The sequence below is a fragment of the Homo sapiens genome, chromosome 10 (genome assembly GCF_000001405.40).
Source record: "Homo sapiens chromosome 10, GRCh38.p14 Primary Assembly".
Classification (NCBI taxonomy): Eukaryota; Metazoa; Chordata; class Mammalia; order Primates; family Hominidae; genus Homo; species Homo sapiens.
This window is the reverse complement of record NC_000010.11, coordinates 46,221,255-46,241,328: the sequence shown is the minus strand read 5'-3', so window position 1 is coordinate 46,241,328 and position 20,074 is coordinate 46,221,255. Positions and strand designations below refer to the sequence as shown.

The 20,074-nt window shown below is 50.0% G+C and overlaps 2 pseudogenes across 2 annotated transcripts in view, besides 2 other annotated features; one reads left to right on the top strand and one right to left on the bottom strand.

The window, feature by feature from the left end:
* ANTXRLP1 (ANTXR like pseudogene 1) overlaps window positions 1–20,074 on the top strand; it is a 50,584-nt pseudogene that overhangs the window by 28,280 nt on the left and 2,230 nt on the right. The window lies entirely within an intron of this gene.
* Window positions 1,722–1,821: an enhancer, noted in NCBI's record as "active region_3325". NCBI's record gives its function as "activates an Ori minimal core promoter by ATAC-STARR-seq in GM12878 lymphoblastoid cells {active_cell/tissue: GM12878}" and the evidence as "EXISTENCE:reporter gene assay evidence [ECO:0000049][PMID:35858748]".
* Window positions 12,294–12,948: an enhancer, noted in NCBI's record as "H3K4me1 hESC enhancer chr10:47599617-47600271 (GRCh37/hg19 assembly coordinates)". NCBI's record gives its function as "activates a minimal SCP1, AML or CMV promoter by ChIP-STARR-seq in primed H9 embryonic stem cells {active_cell/tissue: H9 hESC(primed)}" and the evidence as "EXISTENCE:reporter gene assay evidence [ECO:0000049][PMID:30033119]".
* Window positions 16,901–18,271, bottom strand: AHCYP1 (adenosylhomocysteinase pseudogene 1; annotated as a pseudogene).

Here is a 20,074-nt window from a genome sequence, read left to right as displayed (position 1 = left end):
CAGGCAGTGTACACAGGCACTAGTGTCAGCAGGTACAAATGGGCCAGTTCTTAGGCCTCCATGTGGCTGGCTTGGGTGCTGGCAGTCATAGTGGTAGGCCTGGCCAGCGGGCAGGTCCTTCCCTTGGCAGCATGTGTGGAGTGAGTGTTGACAATAGCAACAACACAGCAACTCTAAGGCTCTGAAGCAACACACATCAGTGTTAGTGATGGCTGGGTAGGCCAGTTCCCTAAACCCAAAGTGGTACATGCAAATGGATGCTGGCTGTGGTGGTAGTGGTAGACTGAGTGGGTCCATCATCAGGCCCCTAGGAGGAGTACATAGAGGCCAGCAATGGTGAACAGAGTGGGGGTAATCCCTAGGCCCCCAGGCAGTGTGCTTGGGCACTGAGGTAAGCAGTGTCAAGGTGGGTGGGTGTATCCTCAGGCCCCTCAATGGAACACTCAGGTGATGGCTGTGGTTGGCAAAATGGAGGGGTCCCCAGGCCCACTGGCAGAGTGCTCAAGTGGCTGTGGCAGTGGCAGCAGTGGGCCAGGGGAAACTGTCCTCAGGGTATGTGCAAATGGCTGGGCCATAGGCAGGTTGCTTACAGTGGCTCCAGCCATAGGCAGGAGTTCTCAGGATCTGGGAAGTGTGAGATTCAGCCCCTAGCTGTTGAGGGGTGGCAGCAGCAGTGGTAGCAGCAGCAACAGGGAAAACCAGTAGTAAAGGGGATGCAAGTATGCGTGGCTCTGCTGCCCAAAAAGGGCAAAGTCACTGTCAAGTGGCATGTGCTTTGGCCCCAGTGACAGCAACAACAGATGCAGTGAGCAGTAGCAGACCCTGCCCTCAAGGCATGTGCATGGCAGCCTTACTGCTGGGGTGGGAACAGGGTTGCTGTCCATGATAACTGCCCCAGGTAGACAGTTTTCAAGCTCTAAGAAACCCACACTTTGGCTCCTTTTTCTCTGAGGGCAGCCTCTCAGCACACTGGGGAGGCAGCCTCCCTATTGTGCTGCACTGTCCATTCCCCAAGATGCAGGACACTGTGTGTGCTAGAGTGCTAGGGAGGCTCTGCTGGGTCCAACTGGCATTGCACTACTGAAGCCCTACAGGTGAACACAGGGAGATGTCAGTGGGACTCTAGAGATGTGGAAATGCAGGGGCTGTTGGTTTCCAGTGCAGGATGCAGTCTGGTGGTGGCTGGGCTCTCCAAATGGCAGAGAGCTACAGCTGCCTAAGACCTGGGGACTGGGACCCACATGAGCTCCCTCTGAAGCAGTGCTGTTACATGGTCTCTAGGCACCTTCCTACGCTAGTCTCAGGGCCTATGAGGGTTGAGGGGTTTTCCTTTGGCTATGGTTATAAAATCCATGGTCAGAATGTCAACCGCTGTGGATCTCTCACTAACCTTTTTCTTGCACTAGGGAGCCACTCTGGGTTCCCAGCCAATCCCAGCCAAGCTTGCTGCCTCACTTTCTTCCATTTTCATGCCTCAGTTATTTCCCATCATTTATCTATTGAATTCCAGCGTTCACTCTTAGATGTTCTTCTTGAAGTGTGATTACTTGCTATTTTTATTTTTCTTTGTGGAGGAGGTGAGTTCTTGATGCCTCTAGTCAGCCATCTTGAAGCCTCTCCAGCCTTTTGCAGTTTTACTTATCTTCTGACACCAAATCTGTCAAAAGAAAAATTTAAACAAATTAAATGTAACAGAGTTTAACTGATCAAGAAAAAAATGTGTCTCAGACAACATCAGAATCAGAACAGATTCAGAGAGGGTCTGTGGCTACCATATGGTCAGATATGATGTATGGTCAGAAAAAGAAATGACATACAGAAAATGAAAGTGAAGTACAAACATCTGGATTAGTTACACCTTGGCATTTGCCTTATTTGAACATGGTTTGAACAATTGGCTCCTTATGAGTGGTTGAAGCATGGCTGCTGTGATTGGCTAAGACTCAGCTATTGTTACAGAAGCAGACTTCTCATTTAGGGTTTCAGTTTGTTAGGTTGCAGTTCATGTGTGAGAACTCAAGTATGCAATTACAGAGGTTTTCTTAGGTCAAATTTAGTTTGATTTAACACAAATGTTTTTGTAAACTTTGGCAAGCTATTGGGGAAAAGCTCAAATAAAAGCCTGATTTCATAATACACTAAAATATATACAAAATAATTTAAATATATATGAGATTATATATATACACATATATAATTACTAATAATAACTAGAATAAATACAAGTTTGATTTCATTATCCATGAATCCTTATTCTAGAGGTCTAGATAAGCATAAAAGCAGTGGAAATTTTTTTATTTTTTCTTTAATTTCAAGACCAGCTTTGTCACAAGGAAAAATGTTCAAAGGAAAATATTCACAGATTTATTCATATTCATTAATTCAGCAAAAATGTATTCCACATCAGGTGCTGGGATGACAAAATGAACCAGATGAAGAATGTCTCACTTTCATGGCAGGTTTACATTTTCTTAGGGAGAGTCATATGGTGACAGATACTGTCCAAAGGATTGAAAGTCATTAATGTGTCAACAAATGCCTGGTTGGCCAGAGAAGACTCTTTTGGGAGAAAAGGAGAGGAAGAGGGAGGGAGTGACAGTTAAACTGAGAAAAAATGATAAGAAGTCAGTGGAGTAAAAATCTGGGGGATTCCTTTCAAGCAGAAGATACAGCCAGTGTGAATATTTTGGGGCAGCTTGGAGTTGGTGAACCAAAGGTAGGAAATCAAATATTGTCCTTGTCAATCTGTTCATGATGATAGTCAGTGTCACACGGATGCAGGGTGTGGAAGACAGGCACGCACCAGCCCTGCAGGTCAGTGTTGACAGGAGTATGTTTTCCACAAGTAGTTGTTGTCTTGCATCTGGGTTCACAGATACAGGGCTCTCTGTTGAATGAATGAATGAGTATTTCTAGTGAGACACGGTCCTTTGAATATACTTTTGGTTGTTTTTCTGCTTCACAAGGAAACATTTCAGATATGACATGTATGAACAGGAATCTGTTTTGGGCCTAACTGTGGAGAAGTGAGAAACCCCTTTGGCATTTCCAAGGGTAATCATAGAAGAACATGGCTCAGAGTGGTTTAGCTTCTCCAACTTTCATCTTTCTTGTCTCAAAAATAAGGATAAAATGAAATGGAGACATAAAGAATGCTAGGCTATGCTATGGCAAGGCTAAGGGAATGGCAAGGTGAGCCTGTATAGCCAGATCCAATCCAGGCCTGTCTGCCAGTGGTCTGCACCTGGTGGCAGTTGCCCACTCCAGCATCAGGATGGATGTGGACAGTTCTGGCTCATCAGCTGTCCGGGACACTAGGAGAGCACCAGCACATCTAAGAACCTCCTGTGCAAATGCATGCCAGACTCCTCTTAGTGCTTGACAGGGAGAATACTGAGAGGGGAACCTACCCTTTATCTCTCATCCTGTTGTGGAGAGGAGGTGGCCCGCTGTGTCCCCACCTTGCCTCACCCTCTCTCCTCACACCTGGAAAGATGACCATCTTAGCCCCCAACCCAGGAAAAGCATTGATCACCCATTATTTGTGTCTCAGTGTTTCTGCAGGGCTTTACTCTGAGAAGTAAAGAAGAATAGGTGTGTAAAGCGCCTAGCTTAGAAAAAGAAAGAGGAGCTCTGGAAATAAAGAAAGACAAACATTAGGAGAAGGAAGGAAGACAGTACAGGGTCTGAAGTTGGAATGTCCCTGGGAGGACTTCAGCACTGGTGTCAAAATTGATATACGGCAGGGAGAAATGAGTGGTCGGCAGTCAGCAGGCCCCCGGCACCCTGGAACCCCATAGCTGGCACCTCCCCTCCCACAAAAACTAGCACAGGCAGCCCCTCACAATGTCAGCACAGATCCCCCAGGCTGGGTTGGCAGTGCCAGGAGGAGGGCCCATCTCCTTCTGGGAGTGGCATTATCCTTTCTGGTTCCCACTATGCCTCCTAACCATGCCAGAAGAAGGTTTGAACACAATGGCCTCACTGCACACAGGGATTGCTCAGAGGCAAGAGGGTTGAAGCTGAGGCCTGGGTGGACAGAAGAGAGCACTGAACAGCAGGTGAGATCTTGTCTGGGCCTTATAGTCTGGATGGTGCCAGGAAGAGTGAGGTGGGGCTTTGAGCCCCCCTGACGAGCCACCTCTGTGAGGCCGGGACTGTGGCCCAGACATCCTGATGAAGTGTCCTGTGTTCTGGGTCCAGTTGGCCTGTGGTCAGGGGGCAGTGGCAGATGGAATATGGTGCTGAGACTTCTTGGGCTCAAAGGAGAAGTGGAGAGAAATTGTCCCTGTGCCTCCAGGCTGAGGTCTGGGCCAAGCCCATGGACTCTCTGGTTGCTTTTGCTCTGTGCTCAGCCTTGAACTTGGTGTGTGACCTGGGGCAGGGAAGTTGAGGGTTTCATGATGGGAAGGAGTCCCCAACTCTGTGCTGCAAGGAGAGAGAGAGGCTGTCTGGAGAAAGAGAAAGAGGCTCAGCTCTAGTGCTCTGGGGCTTTGGGACCAGGGTGCTCCCCTTCAGGGAAGTCAGCTTGTCAGAGGCAGCATCAGAGCTGAGGCTGAGGCACATGATGGCTGGGCTTGGATGTGCAACATGGAGAGGTGAGGAGCAGAGCCCTTAAGGCAGAGGAACAGAGCCCTCAAGGCAGAGGAGCGAGGGAAGGTGCCAGGGCATGGCCAGTTCTTCTTGTAGCTGGGCTCTGATTGCCTGAAGGCAGGGTGTGGAGACCCCAGGAGCCTGGCAGGGACGGTCTGACATGCAGGCTGGGTGGAGGGACTGGATTCTGCCAGCAGTGTAGAGCTTCTCTGGAGGGTGTGAGCTGGGAGGGAAGATGGTCCTGGGAGGACTAAATGGGTGGAGCCAGGGAGAGCAGGCTGACACACTTGGGTTGTACTAAGAAGGAAGCCTGAATCCCTGAAAAGGTGGCAGGAGCCCAATCGGGCATGGAGGAGGGTGGACAGGCAGCTGTAGACACAGGTGGCTCAGGACAGGGTCTGAGGGGGCACAAGGGGAAAGTCAGCATCATCCTGGATGGGGACTAGCAGGGCAGGGGCAGGAGAGGGCAGATCCCAGGACGGGGCCTAGAGGGGAGAAGGGTCCCTCTCAGTAAGAGAGAGACCGTCTCCGTAAGGGAATCCAGCATTTGAGGCATTTGCCACTCACATGCCCAAGGGGAGGCTTTCTGCATGAATGACAGGTTCAAGCAAGCTCAAAGTCTGCATGCTCTGGGGAACACCTGTGAGGAATAGAGGGTTTCCTTGGGACCATCAGGCTGAGACTGGCCTGGCAGGAGACCCCTGGGATTCCAGGCAGCCTGGGAAGGGTGGCCTTGAGTACAGAAGGAGCTGAACAGGCCCCATGCCAGGGAAACCACAAGCATTGATGGGCTGCTGCCTCTGCTGTGGTCTGTGGGCATCATCAGCACCACATCACAGATGGGGAGGTCGAGGCAAAGTGGCATATGCCCACTGGCATTCTGGGAGCCTGCTGCAGCCCTCCAGCCACAGGTGCTGAAGGGGATGCAGTTACAGTCCTCATGCTTGCAGAGCAGGGACAGGCACATCTACAAGGACATGGCATTTCCCACAACAGGCTCAGCCTTCAGCCAGGAGATGACCAGAAAGACCAAGAAGGGTGGTACTTTAGCTGGGAGCAAGGATAAGGGGCTTCCTGGAGGAGGCCACTCTGGAGCTGAGTCTGAAAAGGTGAGCAGCAGTTCACTGGGCAGACAAGGTTAGGAAGAGCATTCCAGAAACAGAGGACAGCTTAGGCAAATTAAGAAATGGAAAGCTGAGGGGCTCTGAGAAAGATTGTTATCTAATTCGCTGCCTGCTAAGCCCCCAAGAGAACAGCCTTGGGGAAACCTAACAATTCTCTTTGAAAAGGCCAGGCTTTCAACTTGCTTTCATGCTTACAAGATGGCTTCTGGAGCTCCAGCCATCACACTCATACTCCAGGCAGAAAGAAGAAGGAAAAAGGGAAAGCAGCCTTCTTTAAAGCAATGCCCAACAATTCCTATTTATACTCCATTGCCAGAGTGCATTCACATGGCTATGCTGCTCAGCAAGGGAGACCAGGAAAAGGTCATTTTACAGCTGAGTACGTTTCCTCTCTTAACAAAAGCAGGCTTCGTTAGTAAGGAAGACAGGAAGAATGGACTTGGGGTGACCAATCCGTGTTTAGTATTGCTGGACCCATTTGAGAGATGGAAAAGCCATTCCCAAGAGGCTGATTGACTTGCCTGTGGTTAGAGGCAGGAATGAACCCCAGTCTCTTTGACCTTACTTAGAGTGACCCTGAGGGCCTTTTTGAAAGGCCCTATCAAGTCTCCAGACAGGGTTGCCCCGATCATGAGCATAAGAAGCCAGCAGAGAGGAAGGCATCGCAGACGAACACAAAGACAATCTCTGTGTGGCTTGCAGCTGTGTGGGTGGTGGATTGGCTACACCGGTGTGTGCCCAGGATGAAAGCAAAGCAACTGCTTTTGCAAGACAGAATTAGCTGTTCCTACGGGTCTGGATCATCCTCTTCCCAAACCAAGGGAACCGTGGAGCTGCTGCCTTCTCAGCTCGTCACCCGCCCAAGGGTCCCTGGAGCCAGCCTTGAGGGCTGTGGTGAGTGCTCATCCCTTCCATATGCTCACTAGAGCCTTCCAGGCCATGCTGGGTTACAGAGGTAACTGGGGGCTCCTCCTGGCTACCAGGGAGAAGAAGACAAGTTCAACCCCAAGTGAGGGAGTCCAGAGTCAGAGACCCAGGGCTGCCTGGAGAGGCAGGGGAGACATTCGACACTTGAGCTAGGTCTGGAAGGAGGAGTCTAGGCTGGAGGCAGCACCCAGGGGAGAGAGGAGGAGCACAGCAAGGCCCACACTGTGGGTCTCGATGGGTCCTGGCCCCACCCCTTGAGCCAGGCAACCGCAGCCTTCTGAGCCCAATTCCAATGCCATCACAGTGACCTTCTCTCTCTTCTCTTCCCTATGGAGAAGGTACCTCAGCTTAGCCCTTGCACAGTCCCAATGCACACAGGGTCCCTGCTGCCCAAGGATCTGCCTTCCACACAGCCAGGAGTGCCTTTCCCTACCACAGGCTCCCTGCAGCCCAAGGATGTGCCTGAGACACAGCCGGGAGTACTTTTCCCAAGCACAGATTCTGCAATGCAAAGAGCTGCCTTCAACCCAGCTGAGAGTGCCTCCCCATCACCTGCTCCCCCAGGTGCCACCTCCTCCCCACTAGGTGCCCGAGGCCTCCCTCCAGGATGTTGCCACTGCTCCCTGCTCTTCTCAGGCACACTGCAGAACCCCCTTTGTCACTGCCTCCCCTAGAGCCCAACTTCTAAGGCACCAAACACCCAAGATGAACAGGCCTTTGTTGCTGAACTGGACATATACATTGAGCCTTTGTTTATGGTCAAAGGAGTTGAATTCTTGCTGATCAACCAAAGAGTTTGTCACCAGGGAGCTTGTCCTCTGAATGAGCTGGATTTATATTGCACCTGCCAGAACACAGCACCCTGGTGCCATGGGGATGCCAGACATGGATTCATTCCACTCCTAACAGCCCCAACTTCATCTGTCACCAAAGGGTGGGACCATGAGGTCTTAGGCCAAATTCCTCTCTAAAAAAAAGCCCCCAAAGTCTTTGAAATATGAATTCAATGCTGTATCACCCTCCCTAGCTTTTTTTGCAATGAAAAATACTTGTGTATTTTATTTCCTATACTCCTCACACCCTTGTCCCTGCTTTCCATTTTTTTGGCTACTCAAATTCTGAATGTATCCCAGAAGGCAATGAGTGTCTTTCGGAAAATGTGAATTCTCTTTGTAGATACCCCACACTGTCCCCCCAAGCAAACTTCAGCAAATTTTCCTCATTTCATTACAGAAGATAAACTTCCCCTCTTAGTCATTTGTCCCCAAAGAAGGAAGCACAGCCCCAACAGAGATGAGTGTCAACAGGCAGGATCCTACCATCCAGTGTGTGCAGACAGTGGCTACAGGACAGCCCGAGGTGCCACCCACACAGGCCAAGGGCACCTCACATGGGGCCCCTGAGCGCATGAGGAGGGGACCACCTGGGGGGCTGTGGCTGAGGTTGTCCAGTCATACCTAATCTATCTTGAGAGTAAATCAACTGCTCTCCACCTCCCCCATCTACTAGAATGCAATATTTATGCTTTTCCGTAGAATTTTTGAAAGGTAAGTACAAGTTAAAAATATAACAGGTTTAGGTTTTAAACAGTATTGACTAATTTGGATGGCAATGTCCCCGCTCCATGTTTCGTTTTTTTTTTTAGGCTTCAACACAATGGCTTGCCTATATGTGTAGGGCTTTGGGGGCTTTCTCTAGGTTGCATGACTTTGACCTTCAATGCCGTCATCCCGAGGAGTTACTCTTTCTTGTCCCCCTTCTCCGTCTTGCACCCGCCTGTCCTGCCGCAGCCTGGACTCCGCATCTGGGTCCTGCCAGCTGCGATGTTGGGAAACAGGCCTCTCCCACCCTTCCCCAGCCTCTCCCCTCTGTGTCTGCACATCTATCTCCCAAGCTGGTTATGAGAGGCTTTTCCAGGCACACAACACCCTGCACAAGGCGTCCAGAGAAATAAGCCAGGTCAATGTTGAGGAAATGGAGGAGAGCACTGGAGCCCTGGGGGTGGATGGGACTCAGTCATTTGGTTTTTCTCCATTTTGAGGCTCATTCCCTGAGCAACCGTCGGTGCTAAAGAGAACATGCCACCCCTCCACACTTCACTTCTCAACATTCTTCCTGCAATGGGAGGCCTGGCTTCATCAATTTTTTGTCTTGCTTTGTTTTTTAGAGAGTTTTTGTTTCACAAAATACACACACTTCTGGTATTGTAAATACAGAGATTTTCACAAAGAATTGAGTGTTCCCACCTCATTGCTGGACAGGTGGAGATATTTATGACAAGGGTGCCTGGTGCCTGGCCAGCAGGTGCATGGCCTGTGTGCGGCCCCATAGGCAGGGTCCAGAGAGGTGGGTCACATGTCTGTGCAGGTGTGGAAATGGATGGACAGCCAGACAGTGCACCCTCTGGCTCTAGACTGCCTGGCCCAGCTGCCTAATGCCTACAGCCACATACAAATGTGCCAGAGCAGCCAACGCAACTTTACAAGGTGCCTGGAACTGTGTGTCTCTCAAGACTCAGGGACAAAATGTTCATTATACTTATGACACCAGGAAAAGTGTGGGGAAGCTTTCATTAGGCAGAAAGGGAAGTCAGGCATGGTGGCTTATGGGAGGCCTTTGGGAGGCCAAGGCAGGCAGATTGCTTGAGTCCAGGAGTTCAAGACCAACTTGGACAACATAGCAAAACCCCGTCTCTACCCAAAATATGAAAATTAGCCAGGCATGATGGCCTGCCTCTGGTCCCAGCTACTCAGGAGGCTGAGGTGGGAGGATTGATTGAGCCCAGTAGGTGGAGGTTGCAGCTAGCCTCTGCACGCCAGACTGGGCAACAGAGTGAGAACCTATCTCAAAATAAATAAATAAATAAATAAATAAATAAATAAAAAGATATATAGATAGATAGGAAAAAGAAAGGGAATTAAAATAACCTAAAAGTGTAGAGAGATTTTATCTCTTCCTCAGATTGGGTTGTCTCTAATTAATGACAACTATGTTTCTGCCCTGGGAGGTTCAAGCCCACTTCTCTGCAGCTGGCCTGTGCTCCTGTGTTAACCCATGTGTAAACATGAAGATGCTGCTTTCCATCTCTGTGGCTCTGAGACCCCATAAGGAGAAATGCATGTGCAATTTCATGAAGAGTTGTATGTGATCCTGGTGAAATCAACATACGTTTGTTAATGGGGATTGAGAGCCTTTGGAGTTTAGCCAATGTGAACTCAAGTTAGGGCCTGTCATCCTTCCTCATCCCTCAAGGGAGGAAGTCATAGATTAAGAAGGCGAGCTTAGAGGACATCAGAGGGGAGAACCCCTCCACCCTGGCCACCCACAGGGACCCTCCCAGGCTTTCTGTGTTGAACAGTGACAGTAGGAGCAGGCAGAGGGAACTTTGCCAGCCACCCTTCTGTGGGCCACTCCAGCCCTGCCTCCTCCACTCCAGCTGAGTTGATCTCCCTGGTTTGGCATCAGTCAGAAGCTCCTCACCCTAGTGAAGGGAGAAAAGGGGGCACAACCCTTGGTCATGCAGGTGGACTGAGTTGCAGGTGGGCTGCCTTTTTAAATTTTAGATTCAGGGGGCACATGTGCATGTTTGTTTCAAGGATATATTGTGTACTGGTGGAGATTGGGCTTCTAGCGTAGCCATCACCCAGATACTGAAAATTGTTTCCAATAGGCAGTCTTTCAGCCCTCATCCCCCTCCCACCCTCTTATTTCCCACCTTATTTCCATCCTTATGTCGATGTATACATATTGTTTAGTTCCCACTTATAAGCGAGAACATGCAGTATTTGATTTTTTGTTTCTGAGTTAGTTCGCTTCGGATAATGGCCTCCACCTCCACCATGTTGCTGCAAAGAACATAATTTCCTTTTTTATGGCTGCATAATATTCCATAGTGTATATATACCACATTTTATTTATCTGGCCAACCAATGATGGATACTTAGATTGGTTCCATGACTTTGCTATTGTGAATAGTGCTGAGTTAAATGTACGAGTACAGATGTCTTTTTTTATATAATGATTTCTTTTCCTTTGGATAGATACCCAGTAGTTGGATTACTGAGTAACATGGTAGTTCTATTTTTAGTTCTTTGAAAAATCTCCAAGCTGATTTCCATAGATATTTAATTAATTTACATTCCCACCATCAGTGTATGAATGTTTCATTTTCTCTACATCCACACCAACATCTGTTGTTTTTTAACTTTTTAAAAATAGCCATTCTGACTGGTATAAGATGATATTTCAGTGTGGTGTTAATTTGCCTTTTTCTAATAATTGGTGATGTTGAGAATTTTTTCATGTGTTTGCTGCTTATATTTCTTCTTTTGAGAAATGAGTGTTCATATCCTTTGCTCAGTTTTAAATGAAGTTCTTTGGTTTTTTCTGTTTAGTTGTTTGACTTCCTTATATATTCTGGATATTAGTCCTTTGTTGGAAGCATAATTTGCAAATATGTTCTCCCATTCTGTAAATTATAGGTGTATTCTGAGTTTCTTATATTTTGAAGTCTACCTCTCTAGAAAGATTAAGGAAATTTTCCTGAATTATTCCCCCAGATATGTTTTCCAGCTTTGCTTACTTTTTCTTATTTTCTCTCAGGAATGTCTATAAGTTATAGGTTTGGTGAAAATCCCATCTTTATTTGTTCTTTTTTAAAATTCATTTTTCTATATTTTTGTCTGACTATGTTAACAAAATACCAGTCTTCAAGATCTGAAAATTTTTTCTTCTGCTTGGATCATTAAAGCTTTTAACTGTATTTTGAAATTCTTTAAGTGTATTTTTTATTTCCGGAAGTTCTGTTGTTGTTTTAAAGGTATTTATCTCTTCCTTCATTTCCTGGTTTGCTTTCATGGTTTCTTTGTGTTAGTTTTCAACTTTCTCTTGGCTCTCATTTACCTTCCCTGCAATCCATACATTTAATTCTTTATCTGTAATTTTGGGGTTTTCATTTTCGTTGGGGCTCATTGCTGGAGAGCTAGTGTGATTATTTGATGTTGTCACAACATTCAGATCTTTCATGGTGCTAGAATTTTTACACTGGTTCCTTCTCATCTGGAGGAGCTGACACTTCTTATGTTCAAATTTATTTTCATTTATGTGGGATATTTTCTCTGTTATCTCTCCCTCCCCCCGCCTTGAGGGTGTCACTGTAGGGGTTATGGCCTTTCTCCTGCAGCCCTGTGCACTTCTGTTTTTTATTGGGCTGTGCAGTTCAACCTGCAGGCCAGTAGGGGGCACTTCTGTGTTAGGGAACCTCTTTTCGCTCCATGGGGGTCCCAGCTGTGCAGGCTTTACTCTCCTCTGCTGTCTGTGATTCCTGTCATGTCTCTGGTGAATTTCAGCATGCTCTCTTAAAGGATCTATTTGAAGTGTTAGTATTTACTCACTATTTTGATGCCTGAGAGATTCTCACTAACTACTGGCTGTGGCATAAGCGCATGGGTGTATATCTGACCTTTGCTCACTGAGGTGCTCTCTATTGTTTCAGCTGATGGACTGGACAGCAGAATGCCAGGTTCCCTGAGCTTCCTGCTAAGAGTAGGTTGGGAGGGTGGAAGAGAGGTTGCAGCTGGGCAGAGCTGGAACCCTGGCTTTCCCACAAATACCCCAAATGATAAGCGTAGGCACCAGCCATGATAGGGGTGGCTGGGGGAGCTCCTGATGACATGCACAGAGGTCTCTGTGGTGGGATGAGGGGGCTGCACTGGCTCCACGTCTAGATAGGCAGGAATGCAATCTGCTTCCCTATCACACCCCTGTTCTGGGGCTGGTGTCTCAGTTCAGATGCACACTGTGGTCTATCTGCAGGCCACAGTGTGGCTGAGAGACGTGGAAAATGCCTGTCCTGTGCCTCTCCGCAGGAGTGGCTTCAGGGTGGAAATTCTTCACTCAGCCCAATGCAGGCAGTTGTATGGCTCGCCTGTTCTCCAATGTGGTAATGCCGCCACCCCATGGAGAGAGGGAGAATGGCTCTGCCTGTCAGCCATGTGGGTGGGAGTCATGGCTAGTGTTGGCTGCTTGGGTGGGCCCAAACTCAGGTCCAGAGGGTAGTCAGGTGCCAGCGATGTTGGACTGGGCTAGGTAATTCCCCAACTCCCACACCTCTCAGTGACCCACTAGATGGCATGTAGGAGTCCTGATGTGGCTGGACCAGGATCTAGTCAGCCCAGAGTTCAGGTGCTGGCTGTGATAGGGAGGGGTGGGCTGATCCCCTGGAGCCTGAGAACAGATCACAGGACTGTGGGGGCTGGGCTTTCCGAAGGGCTCCAGGCCACAGCTGCAATGTTCAGGCATAGCAGGGTGGCTGTGCTGTGCACCGTTCACCCAGGAGGGCAGGAATCTTCAGCTGGGGCAATGAGCAATGATAGTTGTTGGGCTCATGGTCCACTTGCACTTCTCTCCCAAAGCTGGATTTTGCTGTTAGGAGCTCAGGAAGGTGCCTGACCTTCCTGCTCCCTTCCTGGCCTGGGGCAGCAGAGGCAAGCCTGTGGTGGAACGGGCTAATGGGCAGCCTCTGGGGGTTGGGTTCTCAGGGGAACAGTGAGCTGTGGCTGTCATGCTCAGTCAGGGGTGGGCGGTGGCACTGGCAGCCTGTCACCAAAGCAGGCAAGTCCCGTTTGGCAGAGAGGAGCAGCAGAGGGAAGCCTTGTCTACCCACTCCTCCTTACCACAGCTGCAGTATCTGTCTTTGGGGCACACGAAAGTGCCCAGTTCCCCTCCATGGCAGGCAGCAGCAGCTGCACCAGGCAGATCAGGGATGAAAAGCCTGTGGGATCCATGTAGGCTTGAGCAGTGCCTCTGCACAGTCTCCAGCAGGCTCCCTGTGTTCATCTGGAGGCCCGGGGGCAATGAGAGGGCTCCCTGTGACTAGGATTGTGAAGGTCCATGGTGGAGTTGTGAAATTTCAGGGTTCTCTCACTTGCTCACCTCTTCCCTGTGTTAGGGAGCCCCTTTCCGCTCCATGGGGGTCCCAGCTCGGCAGGCTTCCCTCTCCTCTGCTGTCTGATTCCCATCATGTCTCTGGTGAATTTCAGCGTGCTCTCCTAGAGGATCTGTTTGAAGTGTTAGTATTTACTCACTCTTTTGATGCCTGAGAGGTGCCAACTAACTACTTCTACTCCTTGGCTGCCACTGTTCCATTGCCCCCTCCTCGGGGGAGGGGCAGCATAATTTCAGAAAACAAGTCTCACATCAGAGCTGCCCAAAACCAAAGTGTACAAAAGGGAACACGGTGGGCAATTTTTATTCCTTATTTTAGACCAGAACTATAAGAACACACATTTCTGAGAGTCCAATGGATGTCACGTTAAGCACCCCTGTAGAGCTGGAATGAGCCAGAGCAGGTGAGGTAACGAGTAGCCCCACATGGAAGCTCACAAGAAGCCAGGGCACTGCTCACCCCTGGGATGGCACAGAGAGGGTCCAGGCCCCCAGGGGCACTGCAGGCCTCCGTTGGTCATTCAGGGACCTCAATATGCAGGGGAAGCTCTGCCAGGCAAGAGCATTCTTTTGAGATCAGCTTCTTATCAGCCAGACAGAAGGAGCAGGGCTAGGCTGGGTGACAGGCATGTGCACCTGCCACTGCCATGAGCTCAGACACAGCCCGCTGAGCTGCAGGGGAGGCTACAATTTAGTAGCTGTGCATCCAAGAAGGAGTTGGGGATAGATTTGTGGACAGTGCCCAGTCCCCGCTAGGGCACCAATCACTGAGGGCAAGGACCCTGGAGCTTTAGCTCTCCTACTGGTTTTCCTAACCTACCAGGGAAGGCTCCCTTCATGGCAAGACCCTGGTGGGACTTTTGGAGGCAGATGTGCACACCCAGTCTGCACACCTGTATTAGCTGAACTCCTCACAGGGGCTTAGAAACAGACTGGAGAGGAAAATGTACACGTAGGAGGTTTCTTTTGTTAGGGAGTCCTCTGGGGAACACCATGGTGAGGGAGAGAATAACGGCAGGAACCAGACCCACATAGGATGTGCTACCGCAACCATCTCCAATCAATGGGAAAATAAATGGCTATCCGTTTGCAGGAATGTGTTATTTAAGGCACTTTTCCTGGGGTCCTGAAACTTCAACTGTCAACCCACAAGCCCCAGCAAAAAGGCATGGAGGTGATTGGGACAGGGACTGCCTAGTGACAAGGTGAGCCCTTAGATCCCCCACCCCACACCCACCACCAGGGGCTCGAGCCTCCAAGAGAGGAGGCATCAGGTGGGTTGAAGTGTAGGAAAGTGTAGGAGGGCTGGGCTGGGCTTTAGCAGCTGAGTCTTCTGGCTCTAGTCCAGAGCCCTGTGCACTTCCCCAGGTTGCCCCCTTCCGCAGTTGGGAGCTGAACCACCAGGCCCTCCCAGATGGCTGCTTAATGGTGAAGCTGCCTTAGTGCAGCACTCTGATCATTTATCATTAAAGTGGGCAGAGCCAGAACTCCCAGAGCTCAATGGGGCCTTGATACATCCTAAGCTTCTACTCTGTGCTAGACCCTTGGTCCTAGGAGGTGGGGACGTCACATCAGAACACCGGGGAGTTTTATCAACTTTCTTTTATCCTCCTTGGGTATGTGCTGCTGATCACCGCGGGTGAATTGTTGTAGACTCACTAATATTTTGTGACCTTGGCTTGCTTTCTTCACATTTGATAGATTAGGAAAGTACAGGTCTGAGAATTTATAGCAACTTGCTTAACATCCCACAACTTTTAAGTGGAGGAAGCAGGAGTCAATGCAGAGCAGCTGTCTGCAGAAGTGTACTGGGCACTCGGTTCCTGTCCGCAAGTGCAGAATCTGCAACCAGGAGTGGGGATATGGGGGAAGTATCCACCTGCCTCTCACAGAGGCTAACAGCCTAGAGCATGTCCCCAGCTTCCTGCCAGGTCATCACTAGAGCCTGAAGGAACCCCTCCACCTGGCTGGCCAGTGGACCCAGCTCTGGGCTGGGGCGAGGCTCCCTCACCACTGACGGTTAGGTAAACTGTCCTCCTGGCCGGCCTGGGCTATTCCTGAGCTTGCTGCTCAGCCCCTCCCTCCAATCACTCAGCTCAAGTCTCCAAGCCTGGGCTAATGGCTTGGGCTCTTTGAAGCCAGGAGCCTCCCCCAGACTCCCACCAGGCATGACTGCAAAACTCCTCGCATGCACACATATACAACCACACATCTACATGCCTGTGTTGAAGCTTGTGTGTCTACACAAAGCTGTGGTCTTCATGCAGTTCCTCTGACCCCTTCTGTAAACACCAGAATTCCCTGAGTAGGCTCAGCATGTAGAGAGAGACAGGGGCAGAAGGGAACTCCATCTCTCACCAGGATTCCCTGAGTAGGCCCAGCATGTAGAGGGAGACAGAGGGGCAGAAGGGAACTCCATGTCTCAAGCACTGCCTAGTGCTTCTGCCTGTGCTGGGCTGGGTAATTTGCATACCTGGTCAGATATCTATTGAAACATTCATTCCGTTTTGTGTTCTCCCTCTCTGTTTCTTTTTTCTTTCCTTCTTTTTTTAATGGCATTGAGATTTTTATTTACCTACCTTCCTGCTTTCTTTTAACATTATAAACATTATAAGCCAAATTATTCTCTTTTTGACCCAAGGTTGTGATAGGAACCCTCTTGTTACAAAGTGGTGGCTGATCTGTGCCTGCTTTTATGCTTTTCTGGCCCCTCTCAACCTCTGGCTGTCACTTCTCTGTTCTTTCTCAGTTGTCCCTTAAGAGTGTATTCTAATCCCTGTGAAACAGGGACTGAAAGTACCAATCTCATTGTTACGAGGTTTAAGAGAAGGTCCAGCATTAAGCCAAGCTCTCAGGAAAATTGAAACAGTTCCTCCTTGCCCTTCAATACAGTTCCTTCTCATCTGTCACGGGCTGAGGAATGACTGAACCATAAACCAAGCACAGGGTATAAGTCCACAGGCCAGGTGAAGGCCTAGATGGTAAAGTACGTGGGCTTTGCGACTCCACTGCTGACATCCAGGTTAAGGAAGGACTGACTTAGTGAGCAGTTCCAAGACCATTGAGCTCACAGTTCCCTGTGGCTGTCTCCCTCATACTTCCACCATGACCAGGCTTGAGGAGGGGACTCTCAGTTCCCCTGACTCACTTGGAATAGTATGAGGGGTGCAGCAGAAGCCAAAAACTGAGTGAACGGCCCTGGGGAGTCCATGGGGGATGCTGACAAACCAATCACAAAGTTGGTGCCATTCGCTCTTAAGAAGGAGAGGCAGGGCCTGGGCAAGAACAGCAGCTGGAAGGTGAAATGCAGGCCTGGCTCTCAGTAGCGGTAGTGATCAGCCTTGAAGGGGCAATCAGGGGAGATGCCCCAGGTACTGGGCCTGTTTCTCAGTCAGCTTGGTCAATTTCATGATCAGCTTGCCCAGGTGGGCTTCAGCCACTGCCTCATCCAGCTTCTTGGGTAGGACATGAACCTCAATGGGGTACTTCTCTGGGTGGATTCACAGCTCATTCTGTGCAGTCACCTGGTTGATGAGTCACTCATCACAAAGCCAGGGTGGCCCATGGCACAACCCAGGCTGACCAGCCGACCCTCAGCCAGCAGGATGGTGTGGCGCCCATTCTTCATCCAGTACCCGGCCACCTGGGGCTTGATGGCCACCTTCTCCAAGGGTTCTCACTGAGCCACTTGACATTGATCTCCACCTCAAAGTGTCCAGTGTTACATACAATGGCATCATCCTTCATCTGTTCAAAGTGCCGGCCAAGGATGATGTTGACACAGGCTGTGGTGGTGATAAAGATGTTGCCCTCCTGACAGGCTTCATCCATGGTGGTCACCTCATAGCCCTCCATGGCAGCCTGCAGTGCATTGATGGGGTCGATCTTGGTGATGATGACGTGGGCCCCGAAACCCCACAGGGCCTGGGCACAGCCCTTGCCCACATTGCCATAGCCTGCTACCATCGCTACCTTGCCGGCAATCATCACCACTGTGGCCCACTTGATGCCATCTATGAGGGACTCCCAGCAGCCATAGAGCTTGTTGAACTCACTCTTGGTGAGGGAGTCATTGACATTGATGGCAGGCACCTTCAGGATCCCATTGACCATCATCCTGTGTGGGTTGTGGACCCGTCATGGTCTCCTTGGAGGTGCCTCAGATGCCCAGCAAGAGCTGTGAGTACTTGGTGTGGAAGAGGTTGGCAAGGTCACCCCCATCCTCCAGAATAATGTTGAGAGCCCATCCCTGAATTACAGTGACTGCTCGATGCACCATGGGTACTCTGCGTTCTTTTGCCCTTCCAGGTGTAAACTGGAATGCCAGCCTTGGCAATGGCAGCCAACACATGGTCCAGGGTGAGGAAGATGTTGCTGCTGGGGCACCCAGGGTGATGAGGGACCCAATGTGGATGGCCATCTCCATGGTCATGTGCAGGCAGCTGGCACTGTGGTTGCCCTCTAGTGGCTTGGAGGCCGAGTACAGCTCCCACATGTGCATCAGGCCTGGCATCTCATTCTCTACAATGTTCAGGGCCTTGCATCCCCAGGCGGCCAGGCCAATGTCAATAACTTTGCTGGGCAGTTTGTCAGACAGGCTGGTGACGCTTATGATGGAGACAGGTGAAGGGGACTGGGCCTTGGTCTAGGGACAGGCACTGGGTGGGTGGCTCTGGACAGGGTCTCTCTCTCTCTCTCTCTCTCCCTCTCTCTGTGTGGGGGGGTGTGTTTTCTATTTTACATTTCAAGCAGATGGCCAGGCCCTTGGTATTGCACAGGTGCTTGCAGTGTGTATTAGCCAGGGATAGCCAGAGAAATAGAACCAATAGGATATATACGGGTATATGTATATGTAAGAGGAGATTTATTATTAAGAATTGGCTCATGTGGTTATGGAGACCGAGAAGTCCCATGGTTTGCTATCTGCAAGCTAGAGAAAGAAGAATGTCAGTGGTGTGACTCAGTCTGAGTCCGAAGGCCCAAGAATTAGAGGGGCGGGGGTGAGGCAATGGTGTAAGTCCAAATGCTATGACCTGAAAGTTAGTGTCCCCTAAAGATTCATATGTTGAAATCCTAAACCCAAAGGGATGGTAGGAAGTGGGAGTATGGGGAGATGATTAGGTTACCAGGGTGGAGCCTCATGGATTGAATTAGTGTCTTTATAAAAGAGGCCCCAGAGGGCTGCCTCACCCCTTCCACTGTGGGAGAACACAGGAGACATTGTTGGCCAAAAGATGCTAACAATGAACCAGAGAGCTGACTCTCACCAGAAACTCAATCTGCCTTGATATGGACTTCCCAGACTCCAGAACTGTTTAAAATAAATTCCTGTTGTTTGAAAAGTATACAGTTTGTGGTAGTTTCTTTAGAGCAGCCCAAATGGACTAAGATACAGTGGGCAACAGTGGCCTGAAGTGAAACTCTCTTCCATCTTGCGTTAAGATGGAAACTCCTGAGAGGTGACGCTCAGTGTCTCTGAATGAGGGAGTGGGCAGGGAGGTAGAGAAGGCAGAGGTCAGGGGGTTAGAGATGTAGCTTGCACATCACTGGACCACCAAGGGGTGTCTAGATGGTGCCAGGCCCAGGGACCCAGCCTCACCATGGCCCCTGGGACTGAAGGGCCCATGCAGGCTGGACACTGGGTGATAGGGGAAGCCAAGAGGACTGCCGACCAGGGGGCTTCTGGACACAAGACTTTGACCCAACCCTGGAGAAAGAGGAGCCCTTCGGGGTATGTGAAAAATTTCCCTAACTATTAAGACTTCCATTTCGAAATTACGAATCTTTGAGATGAACCACAAACCTTGCAAAAATTTTACAGACCACTTGAGAAAACCCCCACACTTCTTCTATCAGCTGTTCATCTTCTATCAGTGTTCACTTCTTCTATCAGCTGGAGAATTTCCATGGGAAGTATAGGAAAGCCCGTCTTAGGGTCCATATGGGAGATCCCAGCCTGAGCCTGGCTACAGGCTGTGCAGAGGCAGGACCCAAGAGGAGACCAGAAGGACAGGGCTGTAGTGACTGTAGGTTGCCAGCTCATGATCACAAGGGCAGCCAGGCCTCAGCAGGACCAGACATTGGAAAGCCCACAGGACCCCTGCTTGGGGTCTCCTTCAGGTTTCCCTGCTCCCTGGGCCATGCGGCCTCAGCTCTGCCCCTTCTCTCCCTCTGCACCTGCTCCCCTCTCCCCACCTCTGCCTCTCTGTGTACTTGGCTGCTAGTAGCCCTGAAGTCTGCGGTTGCTCATCCTCTGTTCAGATGACCCCATGGCCACGTTGCTGGGGAGAGATTCTGATCCCATAGTCTGGGTCAAGCTGTCCATGCCTGATCTGACCACCAAGGTCATACCATACAATCAGGGCTGCTGCTGGATCCAGCATGGGGTATGGGGAAGTTTGAGGATGTGGCAACAGGTGGAGCAGGTGCCCCCAAAGTTGTCTCCAGCATGTGGAGGAGCCTGCCCATCTGTCTCCCCATGAGTG